At 49.6% G+C, this 21,109-nt stretch overlaps 1 protein-coding gene across 6 annotated transcripts in view, besides 5 other annotated features; it reads right to left on the bottom strand.

Annotated features, from left to right (window-relative positions):
* Positions 1–21,109, bottom strand: part of SHROOM2 (shroom family member 2) — a 163,015-nt gene that overhangs the window by 3,987 nt on the left and 137,919 nt on the right. For 3 of the 6 annotated variants that reach the window (NM_001649.4, XM_011545506.1, NM_001320663.2), the window contains 4 exons: positions 12,587–13,282; positions 7,772–8,323; positions 6,091–6,262; positions 544–816 (listed from right to left, as the gene is read on the bottom strand). In NM_001649.4, coding sequence (NP_001640.1) covers positions 544–816; positions 6,091–6,262; positions 7,772–8,323; positions 12,587–13,282 — 1,693 coding nt within the window. The remainder of the gene's footprint in view (positions 1–543; positions 817–6,090; positions 6,263–7,771; positions 8,324–12,586; positions 13,283–21,109) is intronic. The other 3 variants (XM_005274500.5, XM_017029492.1, NM_001320664.2) reach the window with 1 other exon arrangement.
* Positions 2,894–2,973: an enhancer, noted in NCBI's record as "active region_29405". NCBI's record gives its function as "activates an Ori minimal core promoter by ATAC-STARR-seq in GM12878 lymphoblastoid cells {active_cell/tissue: GM12878}" and the evidence as "EXISTENCE:reporter gene assay evidence [ECO:0000049][PMID:35858748]".
* Positions 3,114–3,273: an enhancer, noted in NCBI's record as "active region_29404". NCBI's record gives its function as "activates an Ori minimal core promoter by ATAC-STARR-seq in GM12878 lymphoblastoid cells {active_cell/tissue: GM12878}" and the evidence as "EXISTENCE:reporter gene assay evidence [ECO:0000049][PMID:35858748]".
* Positions 4,311–4,810: an enhancer, noted in NCBI's record as "H3K4me1 hESC enhancer chrX:9908687-9909186 (GRCh37/hg19 assembly coordinates)". NCBI's record gives its function as "activates a minimal SCP1, AML or CMV promoter by ChIP-STARR-seq in primed H9 embryonic stem cells {active_cell/tissue: H9 hESC(primed)}" and the evidence as "EXISTENCE:reporter gene assay evidence [ECO:0000049][PMID:30033119]".
* Positions 4,895–6,094: an enhancer, noted in NCBI's record as "BRD4-independent group 4 enhancer chrX:9907403-9908602 (GRCh37/hg19 assembly coordinates)". NCBI's record gives its function as "activates an origin of replication core promoter dependent on BRD2, P300/CBP, MED14 and CDK7 cofactors, and independent of BRD4, by STARR-seq in HCT116 cells {active_cell/tissue: HCT116}" and the evidence as "EXISTENCE:reporter gene assay evidence [ECO:0000049][PMID:35650434]".
* Positions 16,940–17,658: an enhancer, noted in NCBI's record as "OCT4-NANOG-H3K27ac-H3K4me1 hESC enhancer chrX:9895839-9896557 (GRCh37/hg19 assembly coordinates)". NCBI's record gives its function as "activates a minimal SCP1, AML or CMV promoter by ChIP-STARR-seq in primed H9 embryonic stem cells {active_cell/tissue: H9 hESC(primed)}" and the evidence as "EXISTENCE:reporter gene assay evidence [ECO:0000049][PMID:30033119]".

Genomic DNA, 21,109 nt, shown 5'->3' with positions numbered 1-21,109 from the left:
TCCCTGCATCTGATAAGCACCTTTTCCCCTCAATTAAAAGGAAGGAGGCCAGGCACAGTTGCTCACACCTGTAATCCCAGCACTTTGGGAGGCTGAGGTAGGCGGATCACTTGAGCTCAGGAGTTCCAGACCAGCCTGGCCAACATAGTGAAATCCCATCTCTACCAAAAAAATACAAAAATTAGCCAGGCATGGTGGCATGCACCTGGGAGCTCAGCTACCCGGGAAGCTGAGGTGGGAGAATCTCTTGAACCTCGGGAGGCAGAGGCTGCAGTGAGCCGAGATCGCACCACTGCACTCCAGCCTGGGCAACAGAATGAGACCCTGTCTCAAACAAACAAACAAACAAACAAACAACTAAAGAAATATAAAAGGAAGGAGAGGGTATAGAGCGTGCACTGTCTCGACAAGGTCTGCAGGAGGAGGTGGACAGGCCATGTGGAAGCTATGCTAGGCTCCAAGGAGCTGACTTTCACGACACTTGAAAAACAGCCTTCCCACGAGACCACCCCCCATTTCCAAGTCAGACGTATCTGCATTTACCCGATCACCGGGAGAAGCGCCGTCGTCCAAATTATTGAGGGCATTCTCCACCCGGGCCAGGCGGCCTGACAGCGACAGCAGGAGGTTCACCACTTTGTCCAGGTCTCCAATGAACATCCGGAACTTGTCAAACTCGCTGGGCTTGCAGACGCCTTTCACGATGGCCTCCACCTCGGCCCCCAGCACGGTGTTGGCCTGCACGTCCTCCAGCAGGCTCTCGCGGGCCTCCCGGAGCACCTGCAGCTTGCGGCTGATGCTCTCGATGAGCTCCTGCTGTTGGGCACGGGATGGCAAGGGAACACGGAGACACTGGTTAGGCCGGCCCCCACCCCGGCCACACTGCTCACTGCCACCTTGGCGCACCTACGTGAAAGGTGCAGCTGACCTGCGTGAAAGCTCACTTTTGCATCACCAAATAATAGGGGATTTATACGACTAAGGGAAAGAAGAATGACTCCTAATGGCACTATTGGCATTTAAAAATAAAATAAACCTGTTCTCGTTCTGTTCATGCCCTATTAGAGAACGTCGGAGTTGTGGCCCCGATGCTCGTCATGGTAGATGCAGTTTCAACCCATATCTTTGGAAGGAGTCACAGACCTATGTATTCTGTCCTTTGGAATTTTCTAATTTAAAGATTCACATAGAGAGAAAGTAGTGAGTCTTATGTCCAGCACCAAATTCCGTGATTAGTTATGTGTCCTGTACATATAATTATTGTCACTAGCAATTATTTTTATTTATTTAATTTTTATTTTTGAGACAGGGTCTTGCTCTGTTGCCCAGGCTGGAGTGCAATGGCCTCCCGGGTTCAAGCAATTCTCGTGCCTCAGCCTCCTGAGTAGCTGGGATTACAGGCGTGCACCACCACACTTGGCTAATTTTTGTATTTTTAGTAGAGATGGGGTTTCACCATGTTGGCCAAGCTGGTCTTGAACTCCTGACCTCAGGTGATCCACCCGCCTTGGCCTCCCAAAGTGCTGGGATTACAGGTGTGAGCCACCGGGCCTGGCCTAGCAATTAAAATTTTAATTGCTAAAGAGAAAAAAAAAGAAAAAAAATTTTAATTGCTAATACTAGCATATAAAAATTAAGACCAATAAAGGGATACGAATGAACTTAACAGTCTTTTACTATAACCTACTGATTTCAACTTGACCAAAATGCAAACAGATGACTGTTTTCAAAATTGTAGTAAAATATATGTAACATAAAGCTTGCCATCTTGACCACTTTTCAGAGCATAGTTCTGTGGTGTGTGGTACATTCATGCTGCGATGCACCTGTCACCACCATCCGTCTCTAGAACTCTGTCATCTTCCCCAACTGAAACTGCGTAACTATTAGACACTAACACTCTATGCCCTTTCCCACCAGCCTTCTAAATGATGACCTTTTTTCTACTTGTTTAGAGAAGCGGTCTTGCTATGTTGCCCAAGTTGCAGTGCAGTGGCTACTCACAGACATGATCATAGTGCACTACAGCCTCAAACTCCTGGCTTCAAGTGGTCGTGCCCTGATTCCATAATCTATGGGTAAAATGACCAGCCGGATGAGCATTAGGCAGGAAAAGTCAACCCCACAGCAGGAGAAACATGTGCCAGATACGAGGCAGCCTATTTCCTGATTGCGTGAGGTCTTTCCCTCACATGGATGCATTTATTTTATTTTATTTTATTTTATTTTTTGAGACAGGGTCTCACTCTGTTGCCCAGGCTGGAGTGCAGTGGCATGATCACCACTCACTGCAGCAGTGACCTCCTGGGCTCAACCAATCCTCCCACCTCAGCCTCCTAAGCAGCTAGGACCATAGGCATGCACCACCACACCCAGATAATTTTTTTATTTTTGTAGAGACGGGGTCTCTCCATGTTGCCCAGGCTGGTCTTAAACTTTTACCTGCCCAAAGCAAGATCTAATCTTCCCCAACCTTTCCATAAAGAAATCCTCCACCGCCTTGAATGAATGCAGGTCTTAAGATCCCCATATTCCTGAAGGGTCCTGCGGCACACCTAGGGGGAAGGAACGCTACACAGAGAGGCCAACAAGAATCTCAACAGGCAGACCTTGTGGCTTTCTCCTCGGTCTGTTAGGACTGGATTGTAGTCTTTTTGTCCAATCACATTTCTACACAGATTTCTATCAGGCCTATCCAATGAAGGCTCCATAAAAGGCCCAAGAAGACGGGGCTGGAGACTTCCTGACAGGTGAAGACAAGAAGGTTCCTGGAGGGTGGAGCACCCAGGGAGGGCATGGAAGCTCTTCCGCACCCCTTTCCCCATGCCTCGCCCTACACATCTCTTCATGTGTATCCTTTGTAACATTCTTTATCATAGATGTAAATGTTTCCCTGAGTTCTGTGAGCCACTCTAGCAAAGTAATGGAAACTAAAGAGGGGGTCATGGGAACCCCAACTTGAAGGTGGTTGGTCAGAAGTCCCTGAGACTCAGACTTGCGACTGGTGTGTGTGGGGGGTGCAGTCTTGGGGACTGAGCCCTCAACCCGTGGGATGAGACGCTACCTCCAATTTGACAGTGTCACATCTGAACTGAATCAGAGGCCACCCAGCTGGTGTCTGCTGCAGAAGTGACTGCTCGCTGGGTGTGTGGGAAACCCCCCTCACACATGTGGTCACCGAAGTCTTCTGTGTTGGTTGCTGTGGCGTGAGAGCAGAGGAAAAGTGGTTTGTGCCTTTTCCTACTCACTACCTATCTGGAGAGACTGTTTAAGTTGAGAATCTCACAGCTGAGAATGTGGCCAAATTTTAGATAGTCATCACTTGAGGGAAAAGCACAAAACAGGAAACAGGCATGAAGAACTTCCCAAATTCCTGATACCAATGCTAGCCTGAAGGAAGACTGCAAGCAATGCAGGGAACTGTGGATAAGGAAGGACGCCCGCCAGGGCTGCTCAGGAATTTTTTTTTTTTTTTTTTTTTTTTTGAGACGGAGTCTCTGCTCTGCCACCCAGGCTGGAGTGCAGTGGCGCTATCTCAGCTCACTGCAAGCTCCGCCTCCCAGGTTCACGCCATTCTCCTGCCTCAGCCTCCCGAGTAGCTGGGACTACAGGCGCCCGCCACCACGCCTGGCTAATTTTTTGTATTTTTAGTAGAGACGGGGTTTCACCATGTTAGCCAGGATGGCCTCGATCTGCTGACCTCGTGATCCGCCCACCTCGGCCTCCGAAAGTGCTGGGATTACAAGCGTGAGCCACCGCGCCCGGCCGCTCAGGAAATTTTCAGTGCCATTATTCTTCAGCAATTACGGAAATGTAGATTTTATACTGGTGCATGAACATGTGCCCTCAAAACCTACCTCAGCTGAGCTAATTTGAAACTGGGCTCTCTGAAAGGAGTCCAGATTTCTTTATTGGTTCTTTTACATGTCATATGCAAATTTTTATTGAAACCATTTCCCCTTTGTTAAAGGGCCATTGTATAAAGAACAGCCGTTGGCTTTCAAAGATTTCTGAGACAAGACCTGGCCTGGGACAGTGAACAGATCAGTGGCTGTCCACACCACCCAGGGTGCTGAAGGGCTCACCACTGTGGTCCATACTGTCTGGCAGGCCCATCTGCTATTTCTTGCAGTGCGTGGCTTTCCAGGAGGCTCAGGTAAGAGCCTGCAACAGTAGAGACCAGGCACACAGCCACTCTCATCCCTCCACTAAGAATGAGCCCTGGGCCATTCATTCCCTTCCTCCACCTTTTGTTCCCTTCTATAGGGGAAACAAGGTCTATTCTGTCTGGGCCCTGCACTCACCTCCTGGTTCCAGGGAAAAGCCATAATTCTCAAAGATTCTAAACTTAAACCAATCAGCTATCTGGTTCAACTCAACATGGTGCCCTCTTTTCTGGGCAGAGTCCTTCTGAGCTGCCCCAAGTATAAAACCATATCTTGTCATCTCTGCGTGATGCTTCTCTACCAGCCACCAGAGCCCCCTGCTGCCTCCCTGCCTGGGGCTTCCACTCTCTCAACTCTGTCCTTAGTCTTCTCCTAAAACAGAGGGTTCCCTGATTTGGCTCTCAGCTCTATGACCACCTAGCAATGCTGTGACTGAGACAACTGTGGTCGCCCTGGGAATGTTGGAAGCCTACGGAATTAGGGTCTCATATGTTCCCCTGAAGCAGCTACAGAGCAGGTGGCCTGCTAAGTCCCCATCTGCGCTATGCTCGCTTCCTCCCTGAACACGCCTCCGCCTGTGCACGCGTTGCAGGAATGTGCGACATCATAAGCGTGTGGCTGCGGGAAAGCAGGGAGAAAATGTAATGCAGCAGTGGCCGCTTTGTCCAATCAAGCAGGAAAACAGGACCGCTGAGTCATCAGCACCATAGAGAGCTGGGATGTACAGCATGTGCTTCTGGTGCAGGTGCCCAACTCACACTTGCTGAACTAAAGTGAGGCCAACTTCCAGCCCACAGTGACTCACTCAGTTCCGGAGCCACACTTCTGGTGAGGCGGCTTCCCAGCATCTCCAGCCTCCCAAAGCAGGTGGACAGAGTGCCCCACAGATGAGGGCGGCAGAATCAAGGCATGCCGCTTCTGAAATTCATTATATCATGAAAAACAAAGGCATGCGAGCAAAGAATGCAGTTCTCTAAACCTAGGGTGTGACCCAAATTCAAATGGTCCAGATGGTATGATTTTCCTGGTTCTGTGTGGAAAAACCGAACATGTTTTGGATTCTTTATTATTTTTTAAAAGAGGAATGTGCAACCAGAATGAAGCGAATGGTACCGTGTGCCAGATGGAGGGCCCGTAAAAGCCCCAAGACCTAAACCCTTAATTTTCATTTCCCTTTTTAATACCTTGAACCAAAAAGTTACCATCTTCCAGCCCGGAAGCAGTGGCTCACGCCTGTAATCCCAGCACTTTGGGAGGCTGCGGTGGGTGGATCACTTGAGGTTCGAGACCGGCCTGGCCAACATGGTGAAACCCCATCTCTACTAAAAATACAAAAATTAGCAAGGCTTGGTGGCAGGTGCCTGTAATCCCAGCTACTCGAGGGGCTGAGGTAGGAGAATTGCTTGAACCCGGGAGGCAGAGGTTGCAGTGAGCTGAGAGTGTGCCACTGCACTCCAGCCTGGGTGACAGAGGGAGACTCTATCTCAAAAAAAAGTTACCACTTTCTAATTTGAAAATAATTTTCCTTTATCTGAGGCAGGGGGATCGCTTGAGGCCAGGAGGTCAAGGCTGCGGTGGGCCATGATTGCACCATTGCACTCAAGCCTGCACGACAGAGCAAGACCCTGTCTCAAAAATAAATAAATAAGATAAAATGAAAGAGAATGGTGACTAAACTAATTTGACATTGGATCCTATTGAAACAGCAAAGAGACGTTTGTGGAATGGCTCAAGATTAGGACATAGAACTAACAACAGAGGGCTTCACTAATATCACCTCAAATTCCACTGTCCTGAGTGAAAGCTGAACACAAACGCCCTGGGACACGTGGTGCAGGGTCTGCGCTGGGGCAGGATGGTGTGATCCGGATGCCTGCCCCTGCCTGGACACGCACACGCTGTCATTTGGAATGGACTCTCCTACCTTCTTCACCGACAGGTCGTGGTCCAAGTCGCTTCCCGAATCCTCTTCGTGCTCCTGCTGCTCCTGCAGGTCCTTCATCTTGATCAGCAGCTCCGCCTTGGGGGCCGACGTGCTGTAGTAGGTAGAATTGGTGGCCAGGGACACGGCCGCAGGCACGCTGGGCTCCTCTTTCCTGGGTAAAGGTGTGGGAACTTCAATGAGCTGGGACTGTGCACGCAAACAGCCCCTCTGCCCCACCCCCTGGGTTGTGACAAATCAACACTGGTGCTCACGAAAGGACACCAGCCAGGGAGATGAGACAGCCAAAGGGGGAAAAGTAAGTAGGTAACAAGGTTAAAACTAAAAACCATCAACCCTGTCAAATGGATACTCGTAAGTGTATGAAACATAGTTTTTAAAAAAGGCAAAAACTCAAATAAGCAGGAATATCTAAGAATCTCTGCTACAGAGGTGAGAGCACAGATGATCTCTACCAGGAGCCTGGGTTGATGAGGACAAGGACATGTGTGACGCTATCTACAAACACCAACCCTTCTCCCTTCCTCCCAGCAGCCCTGTCGGCGCCCTCCTGCCTGGGTCCACTTGGTCCAGCTGCTCCTCCTTGGCTGTGTGTCATACCCACTCCACCTTCCTACCCATGAATGACGCTGTGCTGGCAGAACATATGTCAGCAGCAGGGAAGATGCCACCACGCATGCCTTTGTGGTCAAGTGGCTGAAGGAGATACGCTGAAAGTGCTACTTACAAAACCAATTAAAATACATTTGTTCAGGCAGGTGTAAATTGTCGTAATTTTTTTTCATTTCTATTTCAAGAGATGGGGTCTTACTCTGTCACCCACACTGGAGTGCAGTGGCACCATCATAGCTCACTGCAGCCTCCAACTCCTGGGCTCAAGTGATCCTCCCACCTCAGCCTCTCGAGTAGCTGGGACTACAGGTGTCTACCACCACGCCTGGCTAATTTTTTGTACTTTTTGTAGAGACTGGGTTTTGCCATGTTGTCCAGGCTGGTATTGAATTCATGGGCTTAAATGATCTGCCTACCTCGGTCAGCCAAAGTGCTGGGATTACAGGTGTGCACCACTGTGCCTGGCCAAATTATAATAAATTTTTTAAATGCAGATGTAAAAAAATTTCAAATAAAGTTTTAAAAAAACATTTCATAAAGAAACACATATATATTCAATCTAAGCCTTCATTCTCATGTTGGCACTAGGGACACGTGGGGGCTGGATGACTCTCTGTGGGGGGGGCCCTCCTGTGCACTGTAGATGTTGAGCAGTGTTCCTGGGCTCCACCCACCAGATGCTTGGAACACCCCTCCCCACAGTGACATTGCCAACTGTCCCCCAGGGTAGACAGCGGCCCCCACTGAGAACAGCTGTCTTACGAGAAAGGAGACCTGTGGGCATCATCAGAAATCCTGCTGGCCTCAGGCCAAGGCAGCTTGGTGGTCTGCAGTGTGTATTTTCATGTCAGGCCCAAAGCCGTTAACCCTCCATTTCTCTTTCCGGAGGCTCACAAAAAAGCCAAAAAGTGCTAAGCATCGAGGAGCCCTTATGAAAACCCGTCTTCCCCAAAAGCACGCATGAAAACAGAGAGGCAGACCCCCTTCCCTTTACAAGCCTAAGAGATGCCAGGCAGAGTCACGCCCAAGCTGGGAGGCCACGCCTACTCACCTCTCCTCTGTGCTTCTAGGAGAGGGGATTTTGGGGAGCAGCTTCCTCCGTTGCTGGGCTTCTTCCAGGAGGTGCTCGTCTTTGGGGAAGATGCCTTCCATCAAGTCCATAGTGGTTTTGATCTTCACACTGGGATCCAGGATGTCGGCCAGGGACTTATCCTTCCCCACGATCTCCCTGGCCAGCTCCTCCGACTTCAGGTCTTCCACAGTCTTCTCTTTGGCCTTCATGTAGCTGAGCCCTGGAGGGGAGGTGCAGCGGTCTTTCTCGGGGGGCACCTGGGTGCCCAGGGGCTGGGGCTCAGCCGGCTGGGCCCTATGTGGGGCCTCGGGCTCAGCACCCTGCCGCGTGTACAGACAGAAGCGCGAGTAGAACTGCTCAGATGTGCTCAGCGTCTTGATCTGGTCTTTCTCCAGCCCGTGGGGCAGGGCAGGTGGCTCGGCGGGGCATGCCAGGCTCTGGCGGCTCTCCTTCTCTGGCTGGCTCTCCGAGTGCACGATCTTGATGGGCACCATCTTCACCGTGGTGTTGTTGTCCATCACCCGCTCAATTCTGGAAGATGAACAGTCTGCTGAAATCGCAAAGCATGCTCCAGCCACAGACCCTGATTGACGTGTCCCCTGCCCTCCCCTCTGGATGGGAACCTGACTCAAAGGCACTAGCCAGCCACCCAACTCGAAGGAGCCTCCATGATCCCACATCCTGGATGAGGCAGAGGCCTCAAGAAGCTCCCTCTGACTCCTACCTCCGCCTTCCAACCACAGCATCCTTTCTATGCTCAAACCGCCAATGCCACCCCTGAGGCATCCCAAGGTGTCCTCCAGGGGTTCGTGGAGGGCTGTGAGGACTATTTAATACCATTTGTCATTCCGCAGATGATAATGCAAACTTCAACAAGCCCTGTTGGGTTAAATGTTCTTTTGTAGGGGAAGCCTGCAGTGGATGGGCATTTTCCAGGATTCCCATCCGTCCTTAGGTTGGTGCAGGCCCGCGGGTTCCTGCGTAGTTCTCAGGGCCTGGGGAGGGCTCCTCTCCGGAGTGGCCGTGCTTGGAGTCAGGCCAAAGCCCCCCACCACCCCACTTGGGAGAACCTCCTGTGCCATATGCAGGACAGCCCACCCAACACTGTCCTTGTACCCCCCGCCCGCTGTGCTTCAAGCTAGCGTTGCACAGATTTGCACACCAGTGAGATACGATCTCGCAGTAAGCAGCGAGTCATCGGTTCTGTATTACTTCCAAAGGGCACAGTTTTGCTTTTTTTTTAAAAAAGTGTCAGCCAGATGTGGTGGGTCATGCCTGTAATCCCAGCACTTTGGAAGGCCGAGGCGGGTGGATCACTTGTGGTCAGGAGTTCGAGACCCACCTGGCTAACATGGAGAAACCCTGTCTCTACTAAAAATACAAAAATTAGCCGGGTGTGGTGGTGCGCACCTGTAATCCCACCTACTCGGGAAGCTGAAGCATGAGAATCGCTTGAACCTGGGAAGCAGAAGTTGCAGTGAGCTGAGATCAGTGACCTGAGATCACACCACTGCACTCTAGCCTGGGCAACAGAGCAAGACTCCATCTCAAAAAAAAAAGAAAAGTTTCTGGATGAAAGGGACTAGAGAGGTACCTAAAGCATCCCTGGGAGACTGGGGGAGAGAGAACAGGAGGAACAGGCCCAGCAATGCCACAGTCCCTTGTCTGGGGCAGCCCTGCACCTGCTGCTCTCAGCGGCACCGTGCTAGACCATGCTGACCAGGGCCATCTCAGCCAAGAGCTTTTCAGAGCACTGGAGAAGCAGCCCCATATGCTGGTGGTCAGGAGGGAAGCAAAAAGAAACAGGCCAAACTCCACAACCCCAAATTAGGATGTGTTTCTAATGAAGTCAACCCAAAACTGCCCCTACGATGTTACACAAATGTATCCAATTTTCCACAGCAGGAGGGCAGCCACGATGCTCTAAATTTAATGCTGTTTTTCCCTCTTTCACTGGTGACTGGGAATGCAGGAGGGCTCTTTCCCTATCAAGGCAGTGGTGCTCAGGCTGAGATGAACTAACTGCGTATTTTCCTCCCTCTCTCCAGTAGGGTTCAGCAACATCTGATGTGTTTTATCTAGGGACTCACAGACACCTCACAACTGCTTCCTCATGAAGACAATTTACAAAGTCTAACTGTGGAAAATACCATTTAGATAGGTCAGACTTATGAAGGAAAACCCTGGCTAGGCACAGTGGCTCACACCTGGAATCCCAGCACTGTGGGAGGCTAAGGTGGGAGGACTGCTTGCGCCCAGGAGTTTGAGACCAGCCTAGGTAACACAGTGAGACCTCCCCACCTCTCTGTTAAAAACATAATAATAATAAATAATAATAATAATAATAATAATAAAAGAAGGAGGAAAACCTGGCCACCTTATCCAAGCACCAGCAAACGCAGAACCCTCTGCACTCCCTTCACCCCCGCCCCCCCGGCTCCCGGGAGAAGCTCTGCTTGCCTATTACTGACTTTCACATCAGCCTGTATTGGTATCCTCCCCCTTTTGTGCAGAAATTTGATGTGCACAATAGAAACAAATTAAACAACATAAACAAATCTCCCTTCACAGGTTTTAAAATATTGGGAAAGAGGCTGGGCCCAGTGGCTTGCCCCTGTAATCCCAGCTCTTTGGGAGGCTGAAGCAGACAGATCACCTGAGGTCAGGAGTTTGAGACCAGCCTGGCCAACATGGTGAAACCCCGTCTCTACTAAAAATACAAAAATCAGCCTGGTGTGGTGGCAGGTGCCTGTAATCCCAGCTACTCGGGAGGCTGAGGCAGCAGAATCACTTGAACCCAAAAGTCAAGATCGCACCACTGCACTCCAGCCTGGGCGACAGGGAATAATAATGATAATAATATAAAATACAGTACCGGGAAGGAAAAAAAACAAATCTCCTATCTCCCACGGGTTCACATACACTTTCCAACAAAGCATCTATTCCTGATCATTTTTTAACAGAAATGGTCTCTCTTCTTAAAAACAGTCTTGACTTCCACATGAGAACAGTTTCACGAGCCTTGACTTCAAAATAAGGACAGAACACAGTGGGTCGGACCTTCCAGCGACCAGCCCTCATCAACTCACACATTTCTCCTGTTAATGAGCCGTGCAGTCTATGAGATCTTATTATAGCAGCCTGAAAGGAGTAAGACACTTTCCTTTCAGAACCTTACAATGTTACCAATTCAAGGGATATCTGAATGATCTTTAGATACATTTTAAATGATGCAAAGCCCAGTTTTGGCCCACAGAGAAAACTGTGGTTACAATGCCTCGGCTGGAGATACAGGATCAGTATCAGTCATGTTCTTTCTCTGCTGAGTTATTTAGAAGCTAAGAAAAAAAATTACTTGAGACTCTAGAGCAGTGAGGTCCCACAGAATTTTCTGCGGCGATGGGAATACCTGTTATCTGTCCTGTCCAGGACGGCAGCCACCCGCCACACCTGGTGTGACTGAGGACCTGCATTCATCGACTTGGTTTTCTTTGCCCCACATTTACACAGCACAGGTGATGGTGGGTCCTGTGCTGGGCGTGCGGCTCTACAGCAGGGTTCCCAGCCTAAGAGCAGCTGGCATCTGCGGTCGGACAATGCTCTGTGGGGGCCGCCCACACACTGCAGACCCTGAGTGGCCTCCCTGGGCTCCACCACTAGATGCAGAGAGCACCCCCCACTCCCATCGCACTTAGGACAACAAAAACTGTCTCCAGACATTGCCTAATGTCCCCTGGGGGCCAAAATCACACTCCACCTCCTAGGTTGAGAGCCACTGCTCCAGAGAATGAGACAGAAATTCTCCCCTTCTTCCATTTCTCAGTCCTTCAAGGCACTCAAGGAGGTGGTATTTGTGTGTGAAGAAAGCTAAACAGCCGGTGCTCTTTTTTGCACAGGGTCTCACTCTGTCACCCAGGCTGGAGTGCAGTGGTGCCATCCTGGCTTACTGCAGCCTCGACCTCCAGGCTCAGGTGATCCTCCCACTTCAGCCTCCTCCCTGGGAAGCTGGGACTATAGGCATGCACCACCACACCTGGCTAATTTTTTGTAGTTTTAGTAGAGACAAGGTTTTGCCATGTTGCCTGGGCTAGCCTCGAACTCCTTCAGCTCAAGCGATCCACCTGCCTTGAACTCTCGACGTGCTGGGATTACAGGCGTGAGCCACCATGCTGGGCCTAGTGCTCTTGAAAGGTCAAGTTCCTGCCTAACATTCATCAGCATCTCAATGGACGCAATAATTCCATGCCTGAAATCCTGATGATAGCACCATGAAATGTGAATGAGTATTCTTCTGCTTTAACAAAAGGTATATACCAGCTTAGCTTTCTAACATTAAAAAAAAATCTGGAAAAAAAGGAGTAAGAAAATACTGGACACCATGAAAAATACCAATTTCACCTAAAGGTCGCATGCTTAGGTTAAACTCGATTCCAATCACAAATATTGACTGCATTAAAACAACAACAACGACAAAAAAAAACAGACCTCTACCCTGCAGATGCCTGTGGGTAATGCAGATATAAATGCATCTGGCTTGGAGGAAGGGGAAGATGTATCACCTATTCACATCTACCCCTGTTCCCTGCAGGAAACAGCAGCCCCCCAGTGAGATAAAAATCCAACCACCACTGAAGCTTCACTTTCTGTCCACACAGTTATTCCCCAGTACTGACTTTAAGTCCAACGCCTTGAGCTAAAGCAAGGTGCCCAGGTGACTCCCCAGAAAGACCCACTGAGAACCCGCGTCCCACATTAGGAGCCTCATGGGGAGGGAACACCGTCGCAGGACAGTACCTGGTTGAATCCTCATCCTGGATGAGCAGGGGAGGTTTGTCCGTCAGTTTCTGGGGGGCGAACTGGGGCGAGGGGGAGCGCGAGGTCTCCATGGTGGCCGTCTGCAGGCGCAGGTGCTGCTGCTTGGGAGGGAGCAGTGCTTCTGGCAGAGGACGTGATGCGTCCCCGCTCACATGCTGGCTTCCACGCTCACAGACAGTGGCCTTCGGGGTGTCCTGGGGCTGGGCACTGCTGAACACAGAGGGGCTGTGGGAGAGGGACAGGCGGGCCACATACACATCCAGGGACGCAGGGGATGGCGTTGGGAAGGGCCTGCCGAGGACGCCCACGGGGGCGTCAGCAGGTGCGCCGTCTGTGGCCCTGTATCTCCTGGGCTCGCGCTTGGGTGGCGGTGGCCTCTGTGGGGCTGGCCTCTTGGAGAGCAGGGCTGAGCTCACTGGCCACGAGTCTTGTCCTCGAGCATGCAGGGGTGAGCCAGGGCTCTGGGCTCGGGGTCCCAAGTCTGCTGGGGTGCTCTCCTCCGAGTATCTATAATCTCGAGGTAGGGTTCCCGCTCGGCCCCGGCCCTCCCGGGGCAGCTCTGGGGCTCCCCGGCAGTGAGATAGTTCAGAGAATGTGGGTGGGTTCGGTGCCTTCTGACTCGGTGGGTGCTGCTGTGATCCTGGGCTGCCTTCCCGACACTGGGCATCTGCTTGTCTAGAGGAAGAACAAGTACAAATTAATCAACGATTCCAATAATACCTTCCCACCACAAGGGACTGGACCTGGATCTTCACAATCCCCTTAAGCCACTTTCAGGAGTTAAATCCATATGCACTTTCCCACACCTGTCGCCACCGCAACTCCTCATGCAAGGTGGGGAGTCGTGACGCACCTCAGACAACATGAGGCTGTCGACTGGCATGTCCCACAAGGGAACATGAAGCATTCAAGACACAGGCGCACACATCACACACAGACACACATACACACACAAATTGCATTTGTTTTTGCAGGAATAAATGAACAAAAACTTTAGAAACAACATTAATGTTTGTGGAAATGCTCACATACAGCTAGATTCAGAAATATTTACTTCAAGTCACAGTATTTTTATGTGGCTTATGGGAAATTGCCATATACAAAGGGGTAAACCTTTCTAAGATGAGCTGCAAATCAATTCTTTAATAAAACCTTGAAAATCAGTATTGTATTATGAAAATTAAGACCAACAAAGGCTCTTTTAAAGAGTTGGGGTCTCGCTTTGTCACCCAGGCTGGAGTACAGTGTGATCATAGCATGCTGCAGCCTCGAACTCCTGGACTCAAGCAATCCTACCACCTCAGCTTCCCAAGTAGCTGAGACTATAGGTGCCCACCACCATGCCTGGCTAACTTTTAAAATTTTAGTAGAGATGGGGTCTCACTGTGCTGCCCAGGCTGGTCTCAAACTCCTGGGTTCAAGTGATCCTCTTGCCTGCCTGCGGAGTAGCTAGATCTACAGGCATGCGCCACCACGCCCGGCTAATTTTCGTATTTTTAGTAGAGATGGGGTTTCACCATGTTGGTCAGGCTGGTCTTGAACTCCTGTCCTCAAGCGATCCACCTGCCTCGGCCTCCCAAAGTGTTGGGAGGTCTGGTCCCAAAGTGTTGGGAGGGCAGCCTCCTCTGCTCTCAGCTTAGAGGAGGCTGAAGACACAGCACAGGCTTAGAAAACAAGCTGTAACCAAATAGCTCAACCTCAGCTTCAGACAACAGCAACCCCACTCAAAGAAGTCAGATTTCTCATGTGCATCAGACAGACACTAACAGAAACTCCTAGCTTGAAGTGTTATCAAAATAACTTGAATGGCTGGGCACAGTGGCTCACATCTGTAATCCCAGCACTTTGGGAGGCCGAGGCGGGTGGATCACTTGAGGTCAGGAGTTCGAGACCAGCCTGGCCAACATGGTGAAGCCCCATCTCTACTAAAAATGCAAAAATTAGCCGGGCATGGTGGCGTGTACCTGTAATCCCAGCTACTCGGAAGGCTGAGGCACGAGAATTGCTTGAACCTGGGAGGTGGAGGTTGCAGTGAGCTGAGATCATACCACTGCACTCCAGCCTGGGTGACAAAGCAAGACTCCGTCTCAAAAAAACAAAACAAAACAAAACAAAACTTGAACACAGCTATGCATGGGTTAGAGAACAATACATTTGTCTGGTTATAAAACACAGAATGACATTAAAATACTGCCAAACTGATTTGCATTCTGAGAAGCGCTCTCACAGGTCAGATGTCTCCCCCACATTGCATTTCAATATTCAATGGTTCAGAATTCAATATTCCATTTCATTTCCATATTTCTTTCTTTCTTTCTTTCTTTCTTTTCTTTTTTTTTTTTTGAGACAGGGTCTTACTCTGTTGTCCAGGCTGGAGTGCACAATCTGGGCTCACTGCAGCCTCCACTTCCTTGGCAGATGATCCTCCCACCTCAACCTCCCTAGCAGCTGGGACCACAGGTGTGCACCACCACACCCAGCTAATTTTTGTATTTTTGTAGAGATAGGGTTTCACCATGTTGCCCAGGCTGGTCTCAAACTCCTGGACTCAAGGGATCCACCTGCCTTGGCCTCCCAAGTGCTGGGATTACAGGTGTGAGTCACTGCGCCCAGCCTCAATATTTCAGCGTTCAATAATTCATTTCATGCCAAAGAGTTGAGGTACACTTGCACTTTTTTTCCCTTTGAAAACTCCTGAAATCTATCACCCATAGACCCACTTGAAAGCACCTGGTACCTGTTATTTAAAAGCGCCAGGTATTAGTTCGTTTTCACGCTGCTGATAAAGACATACCTGAAACTGGGAACAAAGTGACGTTTAATTGGACTTAGAGTTCCACATGGCTGGGGAGGCCTCAGAATCATGGCGGGAGGTGAAAGGCACTTCTTACATGGCAGTGGCAAGAGAAAACGGAGGAAGCAAAAGCGGAAACCCCTGATAAACCCATCAGGTCTTGTGAGACTTATTTGCTATCACAAGAATAGCAGGGGAAAGACCAGGCCCCATGATTCAATTACTTCCCCCTGGGTCCCTCCCACAACACGTGGGAATTCTCAGAAATACAATTCAAGTTGAGATTTGGGTGGGGACACAGCCAAACCATATCACATCACCACATCACAGAAACAGATAATTAAATGACCTATAATTTATTGCTAAAATCCAAGTGCCTTTGGTCACCCACTGATTAAAAAGGAACTCTATTTGCAAAGTGCCTTCTGCAGAAGTGCTCCGAGATCCACCCATAAACGAAAGAGAACTCACCTGCAGGGAGCAAAGGCCCTGTGAGAAGTGAACAATGACATGGAGCAAGAGACCCACTGAGAAAGTGGACGGCAGGCTGGCTCCTGGCTTCTCTCCTAATCAGAAGGTGCCCACAGGCTCCTTCCCATCTTCCTAGAGGGCCAAACTACAGGAGCTGGGTGCTCTGTTCTCAGGGGAGTGGTGTGTGCTGCATCGTCACTTCCCACGCCAGAAGTGCAGCACGGGGCGCGCTCCAGCCCAACACTGCACTTCATTCAGACCTGCAGCAGCACAGCAATGTCTGGACCAAGTTTGCCCCCCACCCCCACCTTGCAAAGTCAAACTATAAAATCACTAATTGGTTTTTATTGTCGCAGTTGATAAGAATCTGGGCCATCAGGGTCAACAACACAAACGAAGAAAAGGACCAAAAATGGGGATTGGGGACTTGCTGGGGTCATATTCCAACTTTTGTTTCTAACTGGTTCCAAGAGGCAGCTCTGCAGGTTGTGTGTGTGAGTGGTCCATGTTGTGCTTGCGCACAGATGCATGTCTATGTGTTACGTGCATGTCTATATGTTGTATGCATCTGGTGTGTATGTGTACAGATCTATGTGTAGATGTTGTCTGTGTCTATGTTTTGTGTGTGTAGATGCATGTTGTATGTGTATAAATGTCTGTCTGTCTATATGTACACTGTGTGTGTGCCTGCGCTGTGTATGTGTGTAGATGTATATCTCTGCATAGATGTACGTTGTATGTGTATGTCTGGTTGTTTGCATGTGTAGATGTAGGAGTCTGGGTTGTGTCTGAATGTACACATGTGTCTGTGTGTAGATGTATGTTGTATGTGTACGCCTGGGTTGTGTATGTGTGTAGATGCATGTCTCTGTGTCCATGTGTGTTGTATGTGTGTGCCTGTGTTGTGCGTTGTATGCGTGTGTGGGTATGTGTGCCTGTGTTGTGTCTGTGTGGAGATGCATGTTGTGAGTGTGTGCCCGGGTTGTATATGTTGTGTGCATGTGTAGGTACGTGTGTCTCTGTTGTGCCTGTGTGTAGACATGTGTCTCTGCATATATGTATGCATTTCTCTTTGCCATACTTCTAAGGATAAAATAAATGGTGACAGCAAGATCCAGAGATAGAGTAAGCAAGGCACTAAGATGACTTAAGACTTTGTGTCTTCGCACAAGCTCCAGGAATCAACTGCAGCAGGAAGTTCGGCCACACAAAGGAACATTTCAAAGGCAGCTGCACTCTAGGATCCAATTGATATTCAGCCTTGGTTGGTGTTCATTCTCATGCAAAACATGCTAATGCCACGTTCCCAAGGAGACAGCTGCTTGCACAGTTCCCAGAGGGGAGAGGGCCGGCAGGCTCCAAGCAGCAGTGGCTTCAGAGATCTGCTACATGGAGCCCACGGCCCTGCCATTCTCCCTGGGCTGGCCGCCACTGAAGGAGACAGAGCATGAAGCTCTAAAACAGCACCTCAAAGCCAAACAGAACTTATATGAAGGGGACAAACCTGCAGGAAGGGCCACCATTAGTGTACTCAGTCACCCAGCATGCTATGACAGGACCGAAACCACTGTTAGGAAAAAAACAAACACTCTAGAGATCCTGCTGGCATTACTCTATTTTTGCTTCCACGACGAGACAGCCAGCCCCATGTCTGAATGCAAGGTCTCCTTGCACTGCCCCTGCCTCCACACAGCCCTCAGCTCCCCCAGTCCTGCCCTGACATCACCCCACCTCCAGGTCACGCCCCAGCAAGGGGACTCTCTCAAATCATCCCATTGCTCACCTGCCTCCACGCTCCTCCCTGGGCTGAAAGCACCTCTACAGAGGGCAGGGATCTGGGCTATTTCCTTCAGGGCCTTGCAAGCAAATATTTATTACATGCATCATGTTATGCCCTCACTTGAACACAATGTAAATGCACCTGTTGCTTTCAATCACTTTCACTTTTTTTGTGCGGAATTTTAAAAGGTGAGAAGCTGCATTTTTTCAAGACACCATGGTTAAGTTCTCCGTGAAAGGACCTTGTGTGTGAATGTTCCCAACACAACTAAACAGTTTTGAACTGCTCTGTAATCAATAATCCACCACTGTTTTCTGAATAGGGTTAACAATTATCTTTAGCAAGGAGGATGGGAAAATTTCTGAATCTTGCAGATGACTTAAGGAACACACACCACAGGGTCCTCCTCACCTACTTTTTTTTTTTTTTTTTTTTTTTTTTTTTTTTTGGAGACAGAGATAGGGTCTTGCTGTTTTGCCCAGGCTGGAGTGCAGCAGCGTGATCACGGGTCACTGTAGTCTCGACCTCCCAGGCTCAAGTGACCCTCCTGCCTTAGTCTCCTGACTAGCTGGGACCACAGGTGTATGCCACTATGGCCTGGCTAGTTTTTAAATTATTTTGTAGAGATGGGGTTCACCATGTTGCCCATGCTGGCCTCAAACTCCTGGGCTCAAGTGATCCTTTTGCCTTGGCCTCCCAAAGTGCTGGGAGTACAGGCATGAGCCACTGCCACAGGCATCATAACTACTTTTGGTGTCAATGATGGGATAGGGATGCATTCTGATTTGCAGACACACAACACAGGTGCTGCTGAAATGCTGCCCGCGATGAACTCCAGCGCCTGAGTGCTTTCTAAAGTACGGGTTAAACATCTCTCTTCCGAAATGCTTGGGACCAGAAGTGTTTTGGATTTCAGACGTTTTTGGATTTTGGAATATTTACACATACATAATGAGACATCTCGGGGGTGGGACTCAAGTCTAAACCTGACACTCATTTTGCTTCATATACACTTTATATAGATAGCCTGAAGGTAATTTTATACAATATGCTTAATAATTTTGTGCACGAAACAAAGTTTGTATCCACCGAACCATCATAAAGCAAAAGTGTCAGTCTCTCTGCCACCCATGTGCACAATCTGTAGTTGTCTGGCATCTCCGTCATTCCGGACTCTGAATTTATATGCTGCCAACAAGCAATAATTTTCCTATACTGATATATAAGCACTCAACAGTGAAAAGCACGATATACCATCAATACAGTGAGAGAGGAATGTGTCCAGGGTAAGTAAGCAGCACGGCAATGGCACCAGAACACCCGCCTCAGCTGTGAGGCGCCAGCAACAGCAAACAGCAGCAGCTTGCCCAGTCTCTACCTGCATTCTCACTGCGACACATCCCACGAGATCAGCTGTGGAATTTTTCCTTTATGGCATCATGTTGGTGCTCAAAAAGTTTTGAACTTTGAAGCATTTAAGATTTCAGACCTTCTGATTAGGGACGCTTGAGCTGTGCTAGCTGCCTGTGACTTGAGGTTTCCCCGGGCAGACACATCCAATCGGGATCCATCACGTGCCAGCTATGTGACGTCAGGCAGGCAACTACACCCCAGAAAGCTGCCTCTCCTGTACAAGCTGATCACAGGCCACATCGCATAGGATGGCGGTGAGCTAGCAGCAGATAAAGGCCCTGGTGTGGGAGATGGAGTTGCGTGGGCTTCCTATGAGCCAGGCACCTGCTGAGCACCTAAGACCAAAGGGTCAGTCTGTGATGGGGCAGACCTGGACACAGGCCTCTGTGACACCAGCACCATACAACCTTCTTCCCAAAGCATAACACCATGCAACACACCCAGCCAATGAGATGGGAAGGGCACCCCTGCAGCCGACCAAGCCAGCCGGTGAGGGGTATAAAAGGTGCCAAGAGAGCTCTGGGCAACGGCACTGCCTCATTTTTACAATGAAGAGACAGAGTGAACACACTTCCCGTGGATAATGACATTGAGGTGTTTCCTCCTTTCATTTACATATTCTGCTAACTTATGCCATATACAAACGTATTATACACAAGCATACCATCAAAAATAGCAATGGATAGGGCAGTATCTGTGGTGGCCCAAGAGTCCTCCTTGAAAATGTATGCTACAAAGCCAGGGTCTGGGACCGGAACTGTGTGCACAGAGCACAATTATCTCATGGGACAACTGGGGTAGGGCCCAGCATTGCTGCTTCCAAACAGAGCCAGGTTTCCATGAGCATGGAACGTGGAACGCTCAGTAACTCAAACATCAACTCAAGCTCAACACTGACAGTTTGAGGTTATCATCTAGAAAGCACTCCTCCATTGGTTGTGGGCATAAATAGAAGGGATTCTGTAAAGCACAGAATTTTTATCAGGAATCACAGGTAGCTGGTCTGCCCTTCAGCCTGGTGAGGTGTATCAGACGCTGCCAGGCAGGTGTTCACACGCTGAAGAAGCACGGCGCCACCAGGCCTCAGAATGCGGGTCAGGCAGCTAAGAGCCGGCACACCCATGTCATTTTGAGCACAAGTCTCCCGAACGAGTACCTGGTGTCTCCACTGTCCTTCCCAGGCCCTGGGCAGCTCTTACAGACACACACCCTTGGGGAGGCACAGGTGGAAAGCTCTTTTGCCAACACAGCACTCCACAAAGGCCAGATGAGGTGGAAAAAGGAGACAGTGGGGAAGGCGATGGAGCCCAAAAGAGGCAAGAAACCAACCAAGCAACCAACCTATCAATGCTGAGATGTATTAGAAACATTTTAAACAGTGTGAACACCTGGGAACAATGGCACCAAACACTCTCCTTAGACATACCAATTTACCAGGCTGAGCACAGTGGCTCACACCTATAATCCCAGTGCTGTGGGAGGCCGAGGTGGGAGGAATTCAAGACCACTCTGAACAACATAGCAAGACCCAGTCTCTACAAAAAATAAAAATAAAAAAAAAATTAAAAATTAGCCAGGTATGGTGATGCATGCCTGCAGTCCCAACTACTCAGGAGGCTGAGGTGAGAGAATTGCTTGACCCTGGGAGTTCAAGGTTGCAGTGAGCCATGATCACACCACTGCACTCCAGCCTGGGTGACAGAGGGAGACCCTGTCTCTAAAAACAAATGAAAAAAGCCTGGATGTGGTGCCCCGTGCCTGCAATCCCAACACTTAGGGAGGCCAAGGCAGGAGGACTGCCCGAGGCAAGGAGTTAGAGACCAGCCTGGGCAACATAGCAAGACCCTGTCTCTACAAAAAATTGAAAAACCAGCCAGGCATGGTGGTGGGCACCTTTAGTCCCAGCTACTCAGGAGGCTGAAGCGGGAGGATTGCTTGAGCCCAGGAGTTGGAGGCTGCAGTGAGCGATGATCATGCCACTGCACTCTAGCCTGGGTAACAGAGTGAGACTGTCTCTGAAAAGCAAAAAAGAAATATTGATTTA

The sequence above is a fragment of the Homo sapiens genome, chromosome X (genome assembly GCF_000001405.40).
Source record: "Homo sapiens chromosome X, GRCh38.p14 Primary Assembly".
Lineage (NCBI taxonomy): Eukaryota > Metazoa > Chordata > Mammalia > Primates > Hominidae > Homo > Homo sapiens.
This window is presented reverse-complemented; position numbering and strand designations above follow the sequence as displayed.